The sequence below is a fragment of the Homo sapiens genome, chromosome 9, assembly GCF_000001405.40.
Source record: "Homo sapiens chromosome 9, GRCh38.p14 Primary Assembly".
Taxonomy (NCBI): Eukaryota; Metazoa; Chordata; class Mammalia; order Primates; family Hominidae; genus Homo; species Homo sapiens.
The window spans coordinates 18,786,305-18,807,578 of record NC_000009.12 but is presented as its reverse complement, the minus strand read 5'-3'; the positions used below and the strand labels follow the sequence as shown (position 1 = coordinate 18,807,578).

Genomic DNA, 21,274 nt, shown 5'->3' with positions numbered 1-21,274 from the left:
CGCCTCCCGGGTTCACGCCGGTTCTCCCGCCTCAGGCTCCCGACTAGCTGGGACTACAGGCGCCTGCCACTGCGCCCGGCTAATTTTTTGTATTTTTTAGTAGAGACGGGGTTTCACCGTGTTAGCCAGGATGGTCTCGATCTCCTGACCTCGTGATCCGCCCGCCTCGGCCTCCCAGAGTGCTGGGATTTCAGGCGTGAGCTACCGCGCCCGGCCTGTACTATGTATGCTTTGTGAACAGCCATTTAGTTTTAGCAAGTCAGCATCAGCTCACAGAATAGTGTTAATTTATAGAAATTGATAGGGTTTACATTCTTTCATTTAATCTGTAAATTTGTTTGTGTTATAGCTGAATGAGAGCCATACAAACAGAAGGAGAATATGCCAAGTTTTGTATCTGTATAAATTGAAGAAAAAATAAGGAAACCGAAATAAAGGCAAGCGTTTCAATTTATCAGGCCCAATATGAGAAGTGAAGCCCCTCCAAGATAGTCAGACACAGAAACAGAAGCATTACAAGAATCATTTTTGCACGGTTCCTTCAGACCTCATTGTACCCACAGTACAGCTTTTGGATTATAGTTCCTGTTAGAAGTAATGTAACAGGGGAAATAGAGCCTCACAGTAAACGAGGGCAGCTCTTACACAACAGGAGAGCCTGACATATGGCTAAAACTCGTACGTCAGCATCCAAGGATGTGAAGGCCATTAAGGAAGGAGCATGGCCTTGTGATGCCTTTAAAACAGAAGTGTTCAGCCAACCAGGCACCATTTTGATCCTGAAGGATGAGGACCTCTGGAGAGACAGGCAGGGACAGATGAGTAACCCCTGGAGCAATGCTCAGAAATCCATTCTTGCACATAGTCTGGGCTCTGGCTCAGGTCTCTCTCCTATGTGATTTGGGGTAAAATCAAAATTCAGTGGGAAAAAATCTGAACATATGTGTTTGAAAAATATCTTTGGCCTAATATAAAGGTGATTGAGAGAGAAGCCAGAGGAGATGGAAAGTTTGTTTTTTGAATGAAGCCAAGAGTAGAGAGCATTGTAAGCACTGTTTACTCAGGGCTGAATCCCAGGCCTCTGCTAATAGAAACTTTGTTTAAACTGCCATGCCGCCTTCCATTTTAGAAGCCATGGCAGAGAGTGACTTGCTATCAGCCAAACCCTTTTCCTCTTCTTCCTGTGCACACAGCTAGATAATTTTCCAGCCTTTTTGCAGTTAGCTATGAGCATGGAACTGAGTTCTAGCAGATGGAACATGAACAGACGTGAAGTGTGCCACTTCTTGGCCCAAAGTACAAAAACTCTGTTGTGCAATTCTTTTAGACTTTATGTGAGCAAGAAATAAACTATCATATTTTACCCATCATATATTTATAGGTTTGTTTTTCTGTAACAGTTAGTAAGTGCCATTTAACCCAGGCTTAATGAACGTTTGTTGACCCTGAATGGATGGATCCAATGGGTCTTCCTTCCATTCCTTTAACATTGTAAGTCACGAATATACTTCAAAATAATTTCCCCTAGTCTTTGCCATCAAAAATGAGTTGTACTTCAAGGACTTAGATTCTCTGTTTGGCTAAGGCAGTTTAGGCTAGGAGGTGTGCATGTGTATTCATTCTCAGGGTGAAGAGAGACTTGTGGAAGATAAATGGAAACGGGGCAACAACAGACACAAGGACCGCAGGCTGGGCAGATTTGGCAGGTTTGGAGATTTCATGAGAGCTTCAGAAAGGGCCCACGAACAGCAAACAGGTTTGAGATCCTGAAGCCAAATCTAATGACTGACAGAGTTTTCCTGGAGTACTGTGCAGATACGGATTCCGAGTTACATTCATAAGGGCTGAAGAGCAAAAACACACGATGAGCTAGTGATGCCTGCAGGGGGCAGGGGCAGGGGCAGGAGAAAGGGCTGTCTACAGGTTAGGTGTCCCGAGCTCATCTCTGCATAGTATAGCTAAGTACCCTTAGGCAAGTTATTTAAATTCTGTGCCTCAGTTTTCTACTTCTACAGTGGCTGAGAGGAGTAAGTAAATGGATGCATGCAAAGCTGTAAGAACAACGGCTTAGCACAGCAGGAAGTTTGAATAAATGCTAGCTATCACCAGCACTATCTCTGCTATAACACAATGGCAAAACTCTGTGAGGAGCAGTGCTGGGACCTTCTGATGAATACAGAAAACACAGAAAGCAAAACGTTAAAGAAAAGAAAGAGGAAGACAGGTAAGAGGAGAGGTAATACATTTGTTAGAAAGAACTAAACTGCTTCTATTTTGAACAACTCTGAGAATTCCAGTGTAATTAGAAGAAATAATTTAAATACAACAGATTCTTTGTAAACTGGTAACAATATCTGGACAGATGCGGAGAGCTTAAAAGTCACACCATGGCTGGCCTTGTTGAAGATTCCAAAAAGTACCCACTTCTAGAAATGCTAGGAAACAACATATGCCAGATTGACTCCCTGGGTGACCCCCATTAGAGTTCAAGAAAACAGTTGTGATATCCATGGAAGATCCAAATATCAGTTTAAAACACAAAAAAGACAGTGATGTCTACTAATTAAAATATTTGAGTATACAGCAATATTTGAGTACAGTATAAGGTAATATTTTAGTTTAAAGCAATGAAGTATTATAAATTTAACACATTTTTAACACCCTAAACTGAGCAAATTGTATTTAATCCAGATTTAATCAATGAACAATACCTTACAAAGAGTGAGTATATCAAAGAAACGTCTTAAGAAATGCTAGACTCTGCTTATACTAGAATTGTCACAGGTTTCTCACAAGGATCACTGGAATTAAATCTTCAAATTTTCTCTGAAATGAAAATTTCCAGTTGAAGAATTTAAGACTCATGAGTCAAATAAACTTTGAGGGACTAAAATCAGCATGAGCTAGGAAAACCCTTATAAATACCAACAATATCTTATCCATCTGATATTAGTAATAATGGATTCTGAATATTAATGTTCCATTACTATTCCTTGCTGGCCAGAAGCTTTTCTGGATCTCACTACCTGACAATTCCCATAAGAGTTGCTTTGTTACAAATAATAGTTATATTAACATGCAAGATCTTTTCTTAGTCTAGTTTTCCTTCCCAATGTCTTTTGCATTTTATAGTGCAGGAGTTTTTAACTCCCTGCTGACCTTCTTGCAAGGCCTCCTTTACATCTATTTCCAGCCTCCTGAGTCAGCATTTGACCAATAGTCAGCTCTATTTACCCTGTACCCTTTGTCTTCACCAGTTCTCTGAGACATTTTCCTTTCATTTGTTATTCTTGCAAGACTTCATCACAAAAGCTGTACTACTTCTTTGCCATCTAGTCTTCCATTCCCCAAAATACAACAGAGTCAATTTTCAACGTCAGAATTTCAGGTAAAGGGAGTTAATAGTTGATAGTCATGGTAGAGAATGCTATCATTCATTATTATATGTGCAAGAGATTCATAGAACTCTTGGGTCTAAAAGAGACCCAAGAGAGCAGCTATTTAAATCCCTCTGTTTATAACGGGAAAGAGGTTCATAGTCCTATTCTGCTTCTAAATTTGGCAATGAAGCAAAAACTTTCCCTAGAATCTTACTTATTCTATTATTACAGTAGGCTTCTTAGTAATAGTAAAAAATAATTGTTCCCCTTCCATCCAAATTATTACATTGTTTTTGTTGGAATAATCTAATCAAATAAATTGTGATTACCCTTTGAATAACACTCTGACTCTATCTGGAAAGTGAGGTGTAATATATGAGCAGATAATATAGAAAATGAAATACAAACCAGGGGGTATTGGTAGCCTCAAGGCTATATTCAGAGCACAGACATGTTTACCCAAAAAAGGATTTTTAAAAATTTGAATTAGTTCAGTTAAAAATGGTGAGTTAAAAAAAAGTGTTGTTTTTAAACATTTTTTGGTTTGGTGTCTCTAAAATCGTGAGAAAGTCTAGCAACATTAAATTTTTATTTTTGGGGGATAGCAGTCAGATGAAAATGAGCTGTGCCCTTCAGACAGGTGGGCGGAATAATGACCTTCCAAGATGTTTATGTCATAATCCCTGGAACCTGTGACATGGCTAAGGAAGAATTAACATTGCTAATCAGCTGAACCTAAAATGGGGAGATTATTCTAAGTTATCAAGGTAGGCCCAGTCTAATCATGTGAGCTCTTAATATCAGAGTTGGGCAACATGAAAACTCAGCCCTCCATTGCTGGTTGTGAAGATGGAGGAAGGAAACCATGAGCCAAGGAATTCAGTGGCTTCTAGAAGCTGGAAATGGCACTCAGATTATAGCCAGCAAGAAAACACAGACCATAGACCTAAGTTTCACAGAACTAAATTCTGCCAACAACTCAAATGGAGAGGAAAAGGATTCTCTTTTAGAGCCTTCGGAAAGGGATAAAGCCTGTTGACATCTTGATGAGACTGTATTAGACTTCTGACCTACAGAACTGTAAGGTATTTGTATTGCTTTAAGTCTCTAAGTATGTGGTTATTTGTTATGGCAGCAAAAGCAAATACGCAGGCCATATACACCTTCTACATCACCAAAGTTGTCACCACAACAAAGAAGACACGTAAATGACTCATAAACACATAAGATGCCTGACATCATTAGTCAATATTAAAATGTAATTTAAATCACAATAAAGTACTACTTCACGCTCATGAGGCTGGCTGTAATTAAAATGATAGATGAAAACAACTGTTGGTGAGAATATGGAGAAACTGAACTATCCTACATTGCTGGTGGAAATGTAAAGTGGTGCAGTCTCTTTGAAACATAGTTGGCACTTTCTTCAATAGTAAACATAAATGCGCCAAACAACCCAGAAATTTCACTCCTAGGTGTGTATAACCAAGAGAAATAAAAAATATGTCCACATAAAAACATGTACGTGAATCTTCATAGCAGCTTTATTCATAATAGCCAAAAAGTAGAAACATCCCAAATGCCCATCACCTGATGAATGGAGAAATAAAATGTGGTCTATTCTATACAATGGAATATTATTCTACCATAAACAAGAATAATGCTACGACATGGATAAATCTTGAAAACTTTATGCTAAGTGAAAGAAGAAATAAAGAACCATATACTGTATGATTCTAATTATATAAAATATCAAGATTAGGTAGATTTATGGAGATTTAAAGTATATTAGTGGTTGCATAGAGCTGAAAGAAATGGGAGGATTAGGGAGTAGTAGCTAAGAGTGTGGAGTTTATTTTAGGGATAATAAAAATGTTCTAAAATTGAGTGTGGTGATGGATGCACAACTCCTGTTTTTTTTGTTTTTGGAGACAGGGTCTTACTCTGGCACTCAGGCTGGAGTGCAGTGGTATTGGCTCACTGCAGCCTCAACCTCCTAGGCTCAAGCTATCCTCCTGCCTCAGCCTCCCATGTAGCTGGGACCACAGGTATGTGCCACCACACCTGTGTTGATTTTTATTTTTGTAGAGATGGGATTTCTCTCTGTTGCCCAGGCTGGTCTTGAATTCCTGGGGATCAAGCGATTCTTCCACCTCAGGCTCCCAAAGTGCTGGGATTACAGGCATGAGTCACTGTGCCCGGCCACAACTCTGAATATATGAAAAGCTGTTGAATTGTATACTTTAAGTGGGTGAGTTTTATGGTATGTTAATTATGCCTTGATAAAGCTGTTAAAAGTAAAGAACCCATTATTAGGTATATACCCAGAGGAATATAAAATCATTCTATCATAAAGGCACACACACACAAATGTTCACTGCAGCACTCTTCACAATAGCAAAGACATGGAGCCAACCTAAATGCCAATCAATGACAGACTGGCTAAAGAAAACATGGTATATATACATCATGGAATACTATGCAGCCATAAAAAGGAACAAGATCATGTCTTTTGCAGGAACATGGATGGAGCTGGAGGCAAACTAATACAGGAACAGAAAACCAAGTACTGCATGTGCTCACTTATAAGTGGGAACTAAATGATGAGAATTCATGAACACGAAGAAGGGGGAACAACAGACCCTGGGGCTTACTTGAGGGTGGAGAGTGGGAGGAGAGAGCGGAGCTGAAAAAATAGCTATTGGGTACTAGGCTGAGTACCTGGGTGATGAAATAATCTGTACAACAAATCCCTGTGACATGAGTTTACCTGTATAAAAAACCTGGAGATTCAACCCCTGAACCTAAAAGTTCAAAAAAGGTAAAGAACTTTATAGTAATGGTTACATAACTATATAAGTTTGCTAAATAAATCTCTAAATTGCACATTCACAAAGAATTTTGTGATATGTACATTATATCTCAATAAAGCTGAAAAAATAGTTTTAACCTGATTTTGCCTGTCTTTGTTTTTTAGGGTCAACATTGTGACTACTAATTAATTGCCTTGCATAAAAGATGAGAAGGAATTAGAATTTTTGTGCCCTTGAAATTCTGTTTAGTTGGCACGCCTTCAGCATAAATATTACAGGGCCCTTAGCACTTGAGGAAGTAGGTAGGGCTTAGACTGCCTTTTCCCAGACATTCCCAGGCTGCATGCCTTCCTTCTCATATCCTTGTTTCCATTACCATTCTCTTTCAATATTCAGATATTTTTTTGCCAATGTCAGTGGGTCAGGTTGCTCAGATTACTACCATTACCTCTTCTAATTATTTAATTGATGTTGATGGCGTCTAAGTAGAATAAGGCCAGAAGTGGTTCTGCCACAAATTCTTCGCATGTTCCACTACAGAGTCCTAGCCAAGGGACCCCATACTTAGTACAGCCACGTGATGCTGCGGCCTCTCTAGAAACCACTAACCAAGGATGTGGTATATCCCACCACCTGTCCAACCACCATCCTTCCTGCATTCCATTGAATAGATGTTGGAATTGCTTTTTTGAGACTGAGATGTGCCAACTTGGACCACTTATACTTTCTTTTTTATTTCCTCTAGTCAACTGGGGAGCTCAGTGAGATTCTCCTGCTATACTCTCATCAGTTTTAAGTAAGTTCTATGAAAGCTTGGGGTCTTTGGTGGGCATTCTCTACATCTGTACTTACTGAGAAAAACTTAAGGGTCTTAGCTATTCAGTATTCTATCAGATATTGAAATCTCCTTGATGGCAGCTTAGATCAGTCAGTCGCTATTACCATGTGGCCCAGAGAACAGTCAAACCTGTCCATTTTTCCTTTTTTTTTTTTTTTTTTTTTTTTTTTGAGATGGAGTTTTCCTCTTGTTGCCCAGGCTGGAGTACAGTGGCATGGTCTTGGCTCACTGCAACCTCTACCTCCCGGGTTCAAGCGATTCTCCTGCCTCAGCCTTCTGAGTAGCTGGGATTACAGGCGCTTGCCACCACACATGGCTAATATTTATATTTTTAGTAGAGATGGGGTTTTGCCATGTTGGCCAGGCTGGTCTCAAACTCCTGACTTCAGGCCATCTGCCCGCCTCAGCCTCCCAAAGTGCTGGGATTACAGGCATGAGCCACCGTGCCTGGGCCACTTTTCCTTTTGATCTAGTGCATGGGAGCAAATCTTCCTTTGTTAGCCTTTGTATTGTTGACTAGGTCCTCTGTGAGCCTAACTCTTTATGAAGCAAAACTCTCCTTTGTTAACAGAACTGCTGGGTGAAAAATTCAGAAATGCTAATTTGAAGTGACTTACATTATGATAAGCTTACACAATCACTTGTCTTTTATTGTAGCTACTAAATCATGATGGGGAGGGACAGAGGAAGAAGAATTTTAAAAAATGATTGCCTTTTATTTTTATTTTCCCAGTGAGGTTTCTGTGATCTCTTTATTAGACACAATGTGTATCAGTTATTCAACTCATAAAGAGCAAAAAAACATGCTAGGAAAGGAGAAATATTTTCTGTCTCTCCCTTCCTGTGAAAATGTCAGATGAGCTCATCTGTGTTCTCTCCTTTCAATGAAAGATACACTCATCCCTCAGCCCTCATCTTATTCTCATTTCCCATTGATGATGTCAGGCAGGCCTTACAGTATCTCTTTTGTGATCTTATAAAATCAATAACAACCAAAAATGTTTCCCTTTTGTCGATGACCTCACCAATGCTCCATACCTGGAGAGGCCCTTATCTGCATTGGTAAGTACAGCTAAACTCCACGGATCCAGACTGAAGCAATTTACCTGGAAACTACTTCCTTTCCTTCAAAAGTTTGCCTAGGCCATTCGGATTTGGAAGATTTCTGAGCAAGATGGCTGAGTGCTGAATTTAACAGCCAAGATGATTCTCCAATCTCTGTGCTTATGTCTGCACACATCAGAGACTCTCCTTTACCTAGCCCTGTTTATTCCTGAACACAAAGTAATTAATACTTCAAAGTGTTAGGTATGTGACATTTTGGTGACATTCCTATAATCTCCTCCCTGCAATCCTCCCCTCCTAAGCTACTTTCATCTACACTTGGAGCAGTGAAACAGGCATCCAGCTAAGTGAATTTAGAGGGAGGAATTTTGTGCCATTTGGTCTAAATGGCTGTGAGTTCCATGGGCTGTTCCAGGGAGGTAGGGAGGGAAACACTGGCCATCTCCATGCTGAGAGACACTTGCAAGGTACTCCCAAATCCCTGAGACTTAAAGATAAAATCAGCACGTAATGGAAGAGTTTAGAGAGGAGCAAAAGGCACAAAAGACAGTATTTTATAGGCCAAACAGGGCAGAGCAAGGAAGGTTTGGCTGTATTCTATGTCTAAAACTAAATGGTGTTTACATGTTCAAAGAAAACTTGTGTACAGAATAAGAAGTAGAACTGAAATGAATCTGAGAGGCAGAATTGGCAAGACACCAGATCTACGGGACGGGGCAAACTCAATGGCAGGCATCTTGCTGTGGGCCAGGGAGAGCCCATCAGGCGTCTCTCTCTGTTGCCCACGTGAAATATTCATCACAAGCCATCTCCCTTGCTCTGAATCCAGGCACCCCAAGTACTTTCCAGATGGCTAATCTAGCTTCCCTATTTGACACTGAGACATTCAGAGAGCTGCTCTACAAAGGGTTTGTGAGCATCCTGGTCCCTGAAAAGGAGTCTCTCCCACTGTAAACATAAGTTGGCTTTTGTTGTATGTATTATTCTCTCAATAATAATAGCTAACAAATATTGAGTGCCTGCTACATGCCAGCCACAATTATAAACATTTTTTATGAATGATTGCATTTAATCTCCATGAGAACTTTCTGAGTCAGGTGCTGTTATTAGCACCACTTTCCAGATGAAGAAATTGAGTCAGTGAGTATAAAGACGTTGCTCAAGGTTACACTTAGGAAGTGACAGAGCCAGGATACAGACCTAGACCCTAAGGCTCCAGAGCCCATGATTTTAACTGCCATGCTATGCCTGCTTTTGTGAATCATTATGAACAAATTTCCCTGCATCTGGTAAATGCAGGCACACTGGCAACACACAAGTCCATACTTTCCTTATAAAATCATGGGGACACTTGATTATCTTGAGGCTCAAAGTTTTTTTTTTTTTTCCTCTTTGGCCTACATTAATACTAAAGTCCAGGAAAAAACCCCTGCAGTTTCCATAAAAACATAGTAGTGCTGAGATTCATCAAGAGGATTTGACTGCAAGTGAACTGAATCAGTTTCTAAGTTCATACTTGAAAAATCTCAGTGTTAAGACACATACTGAAAGATACATGGAAGCAGAGTTGGGATAATGGTTTGCACATTTTAGAATTGTTTTCAGGTTGTTTCACTCTAGAAGAGCTAGAGAAAGAAAGGAGGCTTACATTTATTGAGTATGAACAATGTGCCTGGCATTGGGTTAAGTGCTTTTTCACACGTGCAATCTTACTTAACCTCACAACAACCCTGTAAAATAATGTTAGTTAAATTTTTACAGATGAGAACAGAGACTCAATGAGGTTATATACTTTGTCCAAGATCACACAGCTAATAAGGAGTATAACTGGCAATAAAACTTAGAAATGCCTGATACTCATTCACCCCCACCCCTCCAATTTAATTTATGTTCAGATTATATCTTATAACCTACTAAGCAGGGTCTCCATGCATACATTTGAAGTAAATTGCAACTTTCTCCCAATTCTAGGTAGCCGGGTATCCATCGCTTGCCTTCACTCCTCTGTAAGCATCAGGGACCACAAAACACAGGTTTTATTTATTGCTGTAGGTTCCACAACATGTGGCAGAGGGTGTGCTCACAACAGGAGCTGGTGAACCACCTAACACTGTGAGTGTAGACATTGGCACAGGTGTGGATGATAAACTCAGGTAAGGGTACAAATACAGTCTTAAGGCAATGTACATTTGAGCCTTTGTTTTTAGAGGGACTGCTTGATAGACTTTCCAGCAGACCTATACAAACCCTAGCAGCTAAGGTGCAAGGATGCAGCTCCCTATGCCCTGGGTGTGGTGTCTGTAGTCATACTTCACCAGGCAGCCCCTCTCCTCCCCTTCCCTGGTGCCTCTTTGGCTGCTCTGTCTCTCTTCCCTGGCTTTGAACTTGTTGGCAGCCTCCAATAACCCCTCTTCAAAGAGCTGAAGGCAAGCCTGATGTTACAATTGCCTTGCTTAATTCCAGACAGGTTTCTATTAATCGTATTAAATTCGGGTGAACAAAGGGCATTTAGTCTGTGATAGAGCTGAACCATATCTGGATTAATATAAACAAGAGAATTAATCCTGCAAGAGCCACTATCTGCCAGCAAGTGGAAAGATGTCAGCAGTGCCCTTGCTAAAGCAGGTTGGAGGGTGGATGGCAGGAGAGATTTAACAAGATTGGTGCTGAGCATCTGGACTCTGTATAAAGAGGGGAATAAAGATTGCAACTGGAATACATTAGAAGAAAAGCAAATGTTTTATTCACAAAAAATAGGCATTAATAATATCAGTCTTTAATCCGGCCCAGGGCTCCTTAAATTGCCTTCTTCATTGTTGACTTTGATCTTCCCCGCAAAGCCGCCTGCTAAGGGTCCCTTCCCAGATCAGCCTGAAGTCATGGGGGCAGGAATACTGTTGCTAAACAGATATGCAAGGGGGTAGCATGTGTGACTGGAGTACAGTATGACAACATAATCCTGGCAGGGACAGATGAAGTCAGTGTGGGGTGATGTTGGCTTTTCTAGCATCTACTGAATCATCTGATGAGAGCAGCAATTGAAAAGAATAAATACAAACACATGCAACACAGCCACAAAGACTGGATGGCCCAGATCTGAGAGGATGGATCCTATTTTCTCAGATCAGTGGGGAAGTAGGGAGAACAATGAGCTGGGAGTTAGGAGACTCCAGTTCCCTTCTTCCCCCGCCACTAGCAGAGCAGCTGTGTGACCTCGGGTTGCCTGGCCTCTGAGAAACAAGGGCCTTGGTCCAGCTGGTATCTAAGTTCTCTTTCCGTTTCAAAGGCATGGGTTTGTCCTATGCAAAGAGGTTTTATAAAAGCTCTACATGTCTTTTACTACAAGACCACAACTATGGGAGACATGGTACTCTGAGTTGCAATGTTCTTAAGTCACCATGTGCAGAATGTATTGTCTAACCTCAATGGATAAAGGGGAATGTTGGCAGTGCATTAGAGCAAGAGGATGAAATAAAGCAGACTCAGAGAGAAGTACTGGGGAACACTCCTGCTTCAAGCCATGACCACAGAATTCCAATTATTTATGGGTCGTAGTCTTTCTTGCAACAGGTGGAACAAGGAGATGACAGGATCCAAAAGAGTCTTCAATGATTATAATTCACAATTCATGTTCCAACATGCTACTGATTTGCACACATCACCTTTGCTCACATTATTCTTTCTGCATGAAATATCCCTGTCTCTTATCAAAATTCCACTCATTGCAACCCTAAGACCTCCTGGCAGGAATGTACTGTCCTTGCATACTATTTGGTTATCAGTTATAGCACTTCATTCTACCTCATACTACACTGCTGTTGTAATTATAGATTACAAACTCCCTGAAGATGGGATCTGGGTCTCCTTTATCTATGCATCTCTGGGCCTGTTTGACACACTATAGGCACTCATTCAATAAAGGTTTATGAAATGAACAGAACAGGGATTTTTGGGTTACCTGCTAATGTGACGGCAATGGAGACAGAGTCGTATCCCAAGGCATTGGTGGCATTGCAAGTGTAGAAACCCACATCTGCTTCCACTGGTGCCAAGATCTGTAAGGAATCATCTGGCTGTAGAAGAATCCTGGAGCGACAGAAAAGAAATATAGACCTGGTCAAGTCAGTTGACTCCTTTTTGGCATTCAATATTGGTAAGGCAGGAAGGAACCTCAGGGTGTATGCAGAACCCTGTTTTAACAACAGAGACAAACCAGCTACAAGGACAATCAAGAACCTGTGCTCTCTTGCCTCTTTGATTAATGTGACTGTGGTAGTGATCTCAAATAAGGAGGTTTCCCATTGCCTTTGCAGCCTGTGGATTACTTGATCTAAATGCTACCAGCTGGACCAGACAACATATGTGCACCAAATACATATAACACACACAGATATCCGGGGGAAGGGGGGATGCTAGAACAAACGGTACAGATAGATTTGGGGAAGGCTTATTAAGGAAAAAGCAAAGTTACAAAAGAGAAGTGGAGCTTGGTTGGATGGTTGAAAGAACGTAGGGCTTCCAGAGATCAAGACAGACATCTTGGCCAGACACCATGGCTCATGCCTATAATCCCAGCACTTTGGGAGGCTGAGGCGGGCAAATCACCTGAGACCAGGAGTTCAAGAACAGCCTGGCCAACATGGCAAAGCTCCGTCTCTACTAAAACTACAAAAATAATAAAATTATCTGGGCATGGGGGTGTATGCCTATAATCCCAGCTACTTGGGAGGCTGAGGTGAGAGAATCACTTGAACGTGGGGGGCAGAGGTTGTAGTGGGCTGAGATTGCCCCACTGTACTCCAGCTTGGGACACAGAGCATGACTCTGTCTCAAAAAACAACAACAACAAAAAAAAACAACAAAAAACAACCAGACAGACATCTGTTCAGGTTTGCAGGTAGAAGAGAAAAAGCCAAGAATTGCATATTGAGAGGATCTTACACATATTTGAAGGAAATTCTGTGTCACAGCCGCTGTGTAGTCATATATACATCTATTGTCTTTATTTAGCTGTAAATCTTATGGGGCACAAAACTCAGGTTTGTTTTTTTTTGTTTTTGTTTTTGTTTTTTTTTTTTGAGACAGGGTCTTGCTCTGTCACCCACGAGTGTGGAGGCACAAACACAGCTCACTGCAGTCTTGAACTCCTGGGCTTAAGCAGTCCTCCCACCTCTGCCTCCTGTGTAGCTGAGACCACAGGGGTGCACTACCATTCCCAGCTAATTTTTAAATTTTGCGTAAAGATAGGGTCTTGCCAAGTTGCCCAGGCTGGTCTTGAACTCCTGGGCTCATGTGATCCTCTTCAGGTCTTATTTATTGCTTTTATTTTCCCCACTACTACAGGGGACTCTCTGTAGAGTAGGTTCCCAGTAGAATAAAGTCAAAACTTGCCCTTCAAGGTCATGGAGAGAAAATTCCAGAATAATCACAGTCTACTTCAGACTTTTTTTTTTTTAATCTGAAAAGACTTAAAAGAATCAAACTGTGAGTGCCTACAGTGAGCTTCAAACCCACTCCACCCAAGTCTGTTTTTTCTTTTCTAGATTTATGCCATTTCTAGAAAGTACCTGTGACATTATGGCAGCTTAATTAATGACTAACGATCACTTGAACCTGATGTCTTGGTGACTTAGTGAGGCTGGCTGATAACTGGAATGTGTATGTGGAGGAGGGAATCTAGAAGGGTTGGAGGGACAATGGAGAAGCTCAGAAGCTCAGAGATCCGGTGCCTAGACCTGACAGGTACTTTAGGTTGACAGTTTATTTGATAGCACAGAAATGGCTCAGTAGCCAGTTTTGGGGATCCTGAAGCTAGTCATTTCTAGCTTTGTGATTTTTTAACCTCCCTAGTTTCAAAAGCTTCAAAAAACTGTTCACCCAATATTATGCTAGCATCCTTCCCTAGGAGGTAAGCAGTTAATAGGGGTTGTTTTTCAAGAAAGTGAGAGGGTGGGGAAACAACAGAAATGTGGGGAGAACTCATTAAGACTCTGTGGTAAGATTAAGCCTGGAAGTCAGGTCTGCCCCAGCAACACTCTCCCACTATACAATTCTTTCCTCACTATTTCCCTTGCCGGGTCTCTCCAGGCTGTATGACATTTGCATTTCAGCACCACTTCTAATCAGCTGTCAATTATTCTGAGGTGGGTGACCAGTCTGGCAGTGAATGAGATCTCCTCAGCTCAGCTTTTGGCCTTGGGCCTACTACATTGCTTATTCTTACCTCCTGTCAGAGGAAAGGCAGGAAGTAGAAGTAAGGCTTCCATCAATCAATCGAGTTATATATGGGCAGCTCTAGTAAAATGGGGAAGGAAATAGACACCTTAGTTAAAGGAAGTTTTTGAATGATTTGTGCTTGATTTAGTGCTATTCCAGATCATCACCACTATTACTGGAGACCCTCAAGTTTTGTGGCATTCAACTAGAGCTGAAACATTGTGAGGGATGAAAGGAAGCCTCTGAGAGCTTGTGATATAGCTCATCCACCCATACATTCACTGAGAGATTGTGTTATGGCTCATCCAACCATTCATTCACTCATCCATCAAACATTAGTTGCTTTTTTCTCAAAGTCAAACAATTACATGTTAGTTTATTTCGAAGAAGCTAATAAGAGAAAGATGACTATACAATTTACTTATCTTTGGTAAACCATACAATATTTTAGATCATAGTATGACTGTTTCCTGAAGGAATCTTATCAGATGCAACATAATGTAATATCATTGCTAAGTCTCTTCAGGTGTTCAAGCTGTTTTAGATTAGAAAATTAAAAATCAACTTTATGATTTAAAGCTTTAGGATGTCCCAGGAATATTTATGCTTTCACAAAAATTCTAAATAATAATGAAAGCAGGCTTAGTCAAGTTTCAATAGAACTGAGAATGATGGAACTCAGAAGATCACTATTCAATTTCACCACATGGCAAAGGTAGAAATTAAAATATGCTAAGTTCCCAAACCCATTAGGGTAGCTGGCTCCCTGGCACTGGAAACATCTCCCTTGTCCCTACAGAAAACGGTTCTTGGACACTCGCAGCAGGAGGCTAGAAGATAGTTCTTCTGAACTTTGTTTTGGTCCTACTATGATTTAAGTAATGGCCATTGGCAAATCTCATTATCTTCCTCTATTTCAGTTTACCAACTTCTAAAATCCAGTTGAAGTCTGTTTTCCTGCTCATCAGAGGGAATTGTTAAACTGGGGTATATAAGGAATTTCTAGATCCTCTTTTGGTATTTCCAATGACTCTTTTCTTGGTAATGCTGCACACTCTGAATGGCAAATTAACCATGAGGGAGGAGGGAGGATGAGGAAATTGTGAGGAAGGAGTGAGAGGGGCACATGATATTGGCCAGTTTCCCCTAGGCAACTTATTAGATCTCCATATTAGAATCATTTTTTTTTTGCATACAACTACTGCACCTGTCTGATTTCAGGCAGAGGATGTAACCCTCTCCTACCCTGGCCCATTTATTTTTAGGTGGGGGTTAGTTTTTATAGTTACACTGGTTTCTCCAGGCACTAAGTAAGCCACCATGCTTTCTGCCCATGTCTGAAGCCTGGAAAAGAATTCCTACAAGGCTGATGAAAGGAAGGGAGGTGATCCATCACAGAGGGCACAGAGTGGTAAGGATTTGAACTAGAATAGGAGTAGCGGCAATGGAAACGGTGACATGTAGATCATGAGATTTAGCGTTTGTATAGTCTATTATTCCATAAACACTATATACATAGATAGAGAAACTGTAGTATTTATTTTCATAAAAACAGTCTTAAATATTGTCTTAAGACAGAATCTACATGGGAGAAAGCCTGAATTTCTCACTTATTGTGTATACTTATAAAAGTCACTTATATTTATAAAATGGAACTGTCTAGCTCAAGGGTACATAGTTATTTGGGGGCAGAGTCAGGATTTGAAGTAGAATCTCATGTTTTTGGTCCAGCACTTTTTTTTTTCCACCCTATAATCCCTTTGGGACCACCATAAGACTCAACTGTTTAGTCGTGCTTTCTTCTTGTAATTAGAAAGCTGCCCACAGTGTGTTCTTTGTACATTTGGCCCATTTGCATGTTATTTCCCTCTCTCTTAAAATCCACTAAGACATAAGTCCTTTCAGGGATGGGGGAGGATTTGACTCCTGTTATTATACATACAATATGCCCATAAAATTGGTAGATGAAGGCTTGAAGGCTGCCACTAGGCGGAGCAGTAGTTCTGGAGGGGGGTCCCATGCAGGGCTCTCTGGGAAGCACCGCCAGGCAAAGGAAAGGCTTGCTGCAGAGACGGAGGCTTGCTTCAGTTTACCTAGCCTGGCGACTAGAGAGAGAGATTCCTGGAAAAAAACATTTTCTTTGTATTTCAGTAGTCTACTCTATTAATTTAGCTTAATTCGCTAGTTGCTGATTTCTGTCAGTTTATATTTAGTTTCCAAATTTGATAGGCTTGCTTTAGAATGAGCAGGCAGAGAAACATAGGGCTGCTTTCCAAACAAAACCTATAGGATTCCTTTGGAGCTGTTTTGGAATTTATGGAACCAGAGGATGTGGGGACATAGAATGGGTACAATTAAGACCTACATAGCAAGTGGTACTGTGGTCATGCTAGGTATATCAATACTCCTTGACTTCCTCCCAGACCTGTACCACACTTTTTATTTTTCTAGCCTAAAATTTATTACTTTACTTCTTTGACCCTACTTCTAGCCAGAAAATGAAGGAGCGGTTTTGTTTTTCTGGGGGCCTTTATTTGTAAGCTTCTATGTGACAATATGCCTTCACAAGCATGCTACAAATTAAGGACCAGCCGAGAGGGTGCAAGAAATTGTTTTAGTACAGAAGTAAAAATCCTTGTCATGCATGAGAATAAGATATGGACCAAATGCTCACAGGCCATTTCTACCAAGTATAATCTCTTTCAGGATAAATCATCTCCTCTGCATTTGGAATGTGTAGTGCTTAAGGGCTCTTATTTGAAACAAAGGCAGCTCCGGGTGTATAAAGGAAAGTCTCTGGAAGTTCTGTGAGTAGGTTGGCATCATGGGGTCCTCTGGATCTTTGGCTCAACTGTGACACCACTGTCTTGTGTGAACCTACTTCTCAAATTGATCTCCATGCCCAGCTATGAGGAGCTGCCTTGTGGAGGGGAAGACTTCCCAAATTGGAACCAAGAGACTCGGACTCCAGTCTAGAGTCGTGTGGTGGGCCTTAGGCAAGTCATTCAACTGTGTGAGCCTTTAAGTTTCTTCTATAAATTGAGGCTAATACTGACCTCACAGTGTTCTTGCGAAGATCTCATAGAAGAGTATATAGACTCATTCTTACTGTTTTCCAAGTAAAAAGGTCTCAGTTTAAACACCAGATAAAGCTAATAAATGATTTTTTTTTGATGGTACACATAACCTAAGTAACCTTCTTGGAATTTCTAGTTGTCAGACAAAATATTCAGGTTCTGGGTAGAGAAATGCCCATCTACTACCTGGGATATGTTATTGTGCCACCTCAGGCCTCTCATTCTGACTGGTACGCTTTCCTAAACCTATTGTAGGCCTCAACACAGGACTGGAAGCTAGAAATTGTGGGTGTATCCTTTCTTTGTAGAACAGTAGCTTCCTCTTCTTTCCAAACTTATCTGCCCCACATCCCAATACAAACTTGTCACTCTAGTCAAGATGGCCTCTTTGACTCTCCTTGTCATTAGCTTGGGGCTAAAGACAGGCTCCTCCTCCTCCCCCTCCCTTAAGAACAAGTTCTAGTTCTATTTCCTTGTGCTGCTATACTACACAAGAATCTGTCTGTTTCCTGATCTAGTTGTTAAAACTCCACTACGAAGCCTTTTTCAATCAACAGTGTCTCATTTCTTCAGTGAGATTATAAATTATTATCTCATTCATAGTTCTCTCTTCAGTATTCAGCATAGTGCTGGCACACTAAATAAATACATAATAAATACTCATTTGGTTACCTTCAAAGCAACGGGGCTGAAAATGATCATATCCACAATATAGCATAGCGGACAGTGGTTCAGAGGACAGACTCCGGAGCCATTAATGATGGGATCAAATCCCCGCTTTGCCACTTAGCAGCTCTGTAGCCTTGGGCAAGTAATTTACTTAACTTCTCAGTGACAGTTTCCTCATTTATAAAATGAGAATGATAGTACCTACCTAGGGTTGTTGTGAGAGTTCTGTATAAGCTAATGTATTTAAAGGACACAGAAAAGTGCCTGGCATGTAGTAAAAAACTACAGAAATGTAGGTGATTATGATTTTGTTACAGTTGTTAACATCGCCATGATCATTACCATTCACTCTTCATGCCAGGGCTTATAAATTCTAGATGTCGTGAAGACATGGGGAAATGAGAAATGTAGAGATTTCAATGAAAAAACATAAATTGGGTGTATAGAAAGGGAACAAAGGGTTTGCTGTGCATGGGACCAGGGAGGAGAAAAGAGGAGCAAGAAGTGAGGCCACGTAGCACGTTGGGTTGGCAACTACCTTAATTCTATTCTTGACTCAGGAATCTCTGAATAAGGACAACTAGTTATTTCCATAACTGTATTAACACCAATAACCAAATACTGAAATTTTAGAACACTAAAAAAAAAAAAGCCAGAATTCTGCAATTTCAGAAAGGAATACAAACAAGAGCAAATGAGTTAGAGCTGGAAAACAGTGAACTCAGGAGCAAGTAAGCAAAGTTTGTGCAAATAACATTAGCCCCAAATTCCTATTTATAGGACCAGATGGTGAAGTCTTTTCCTTATCCTAAAATGGGTATTTTTCTGCTTAGGGATTCCTTAGATTAGGATAATGGAATCTACCACAAAGCGGGAGCGGGTGCTAGTATTTATAGGCAAATGTATATGCTTTTTATTATTGAATCCTTACTACCATGTTACTAGATTGATGTTATTTTCCCATTTTAGAGAGCAGGCAAAAGTTCACAGAAGCAATTTGCTCAGCTAGTACATGGTGGCATCAGGAGTAAGGAATAACCTTTGACTGTTCTTAAACTGACAGCATCCAGGAATCTACCGGGGCCTAGTTGGCAGGCATATGGTTTGGCCTCATTTTCGGTGGTTGCGGGGGCGGGGCGGGGGGGTAATTAACGTCAAGGTTTGTAGTTACTTAGGGAAATAGACAATCACTAAAAAATATTCTGGATTTTAGATACTTTCAAACGGGAGGCAAAAGGAATGCTCTGAGATCTCCTCCGTGAGCAGGATTATTTTTCTGAAACCAAAAATTACAGTAGCCCAGAGGCTTGCAAGGGAGAATTTTATTTTGTACAAAAATTTTGGGCAACAGATTTGAGGTTCATGAAGAGTTTCATATCACCATTTGGCTAGGGCAACTTTTTTTAACCTTTGCTGTTTTTAATGTAATTGCCAACTAAAAGTTATTTAATGCCAGAAGCTTCATGATTGCTCAGATGGAAGTATAGAAAATATTTTAGGAATGGGAAAGGCCACCTGACCACACATTCTTAACCCTGGTCTTCTTCTTTTTGCCAGACCCTTTAACTTCCTTCTCTTTCAGAAGTTCATAGAGTCTTGAATTTGCTAATATGTGTATTTTATCTGCTTGCTGGGTAACTCATTTCAAATTACAAACCTCTGCATGAAATGACTGACTGGATTTCCTATCCACTAGGGATAGGGGTCCTCAAACTGCAGCCAATTACCACTTGCTTTTATAAATAAAGTTTTATTGGAAAACTAGCATATAGATTAAAGTATTATCTATGGCTGCTCTCACACTATAATGACAGAGTTGAGTATAGTCAGTTTAAGAACAGTCAAAGGTCATTCCTTACTCCTGATGCCTGCAAATCCTAAAATGTTTACTATTTGGCCCTTTACTAGAAAAGTTTGCTGACTTCTGGCATATAACATGGAAAAATTTTCATTTCTGGTTTATCTCAGTGACATCCTTATTTATACTAAAACAGTTAACCACTTTTCTGGAACTCTGCCATGTGCTAGGACCACTCTTCCAGGAAGAGTAAACTAACTGCTAGGGGGATCTCTGGAGATCCCCTAGCATTTCAGGGAATAGATAGTGCCTGACTCTAAGCCTCACTAGTACTGTCTGTTTGCCACTGGTTGTCTACTATCCTCCAGTGCTCTTCACCTGCATGATTCATGATGGTCATTTCTGCGACCACTGTGTTGACACTCAATACTTTTCTTTTGTGAGGCTTATGTATTTACTGGGACGGTTCTTTTTCTCTGGCTTGCTATTCTTACACTTTTCAACTGGGAAAAACATTTGTCATCTCCATTTCCTTTAGCTCTATAAGGGAAACAAGCCAAACCAAACTGAAATGGGCTTGTTTTTCCTTCCCTATCTTCCCTGCCTCTAGTTTTTATATTATCTGCAAACTTGGAAACTGCATTTCATGTGCTTATGACTTGTACATAGAGAATTATTCACAACTATGGTTCTGAAATTGACCCTGGAGGAATTTCCCATCTGATCTTCACTTCCATTCTGAGAAGTTTCCATCTGCTGATACTCTGAGTTGCCCAAGTTAAAGACTTCCAAATATGCCTTAATTCATCTCCTATTCAGCACCACTTTGGAACACTGTACAAAACTTTCTGGGAAATATAATCATTTAGAGGCTACAGATTTCACTTTCCTATCAGCTCAGAGATGATAGCAAAGAATGTCAGTAGAATATCAACATCCCCTCATGATGCCTGGATTTAGGCTGATAATTCTCCATCACGCTGTTTTCCTAGAAACCTTGCTAACCCAACTCTTTGAACAACTACCTAGATGTTCCTCAAATAAGAGTGAAGCTTCTTAGTTTGAGATGTCCTGGAAGACAGTGTGATACAATGGCCCCATGTCTAAATGACAATGATTTTGGATACTGGCAAATGAGTATCCACTGTGTGTCAGGCACGTTACAGACATTATTTCTGTTCTTTGCACTTCTGCTAGTCCGAAGGGCAGAATCAAAGTGCCTAATTGTACTAGTATCATTTTAGTTTAACTAATAAGAAAACCAAGGTTCAGAGAGATAAAAGTAGACTCACAATACTAAGTGGCAGAACTGGGATTTGTGCCAAAGTTGCTCTGATTCCAGCCTTACTGTCTCCTACCACCGTGGGCTGCCCTTTGTGTTAACTGATGTGCCATCAGGTTGCTCCTCTGGCTGAAGG

General features: G+C 40.6%; 1 protein-coding gene and 1 long non-coding RNA gene across 17 annotated transcripts in view; one reads left to right on the top strand and one right to left on the bottom strand.

The window, feature by feature from the left end:
* ADAMTSL1 (ADAMTS like 1) overlaps window positions 1-21,274 on the bottom strand; it is a 1,004,318-nt gene that overhangs the window by 103,372 nt on the left and 879,672 nt on the right. For all 16 annotated transcript variants that reach the window (XM_011518064.4, XM_017015312.3, XM_011518063.3 and 13 more), the window contains one exon: window positions 12,055-12,182. In XM_011518064.4, coding sequence (XP_011516366.1) covers window positions 12,055-12,182 — 128 coding nt within the window. The remainder of the gene's footprint in view (window positions 1-12,054; window positions 12,183-21,274) is intronic.
* On the top strand, window positions 6,937-10,812 carry LOC124902127 (uncharacterized). Its single transcript, XR_007061429.1, has 3 exons — window positions 6,937-6,989; window positions 8,166-8,339; window positions 10,068-10,812. It is a non-coding gene; the product is annotated as an uncharacterized LOC124902127 (long non-coding RNA).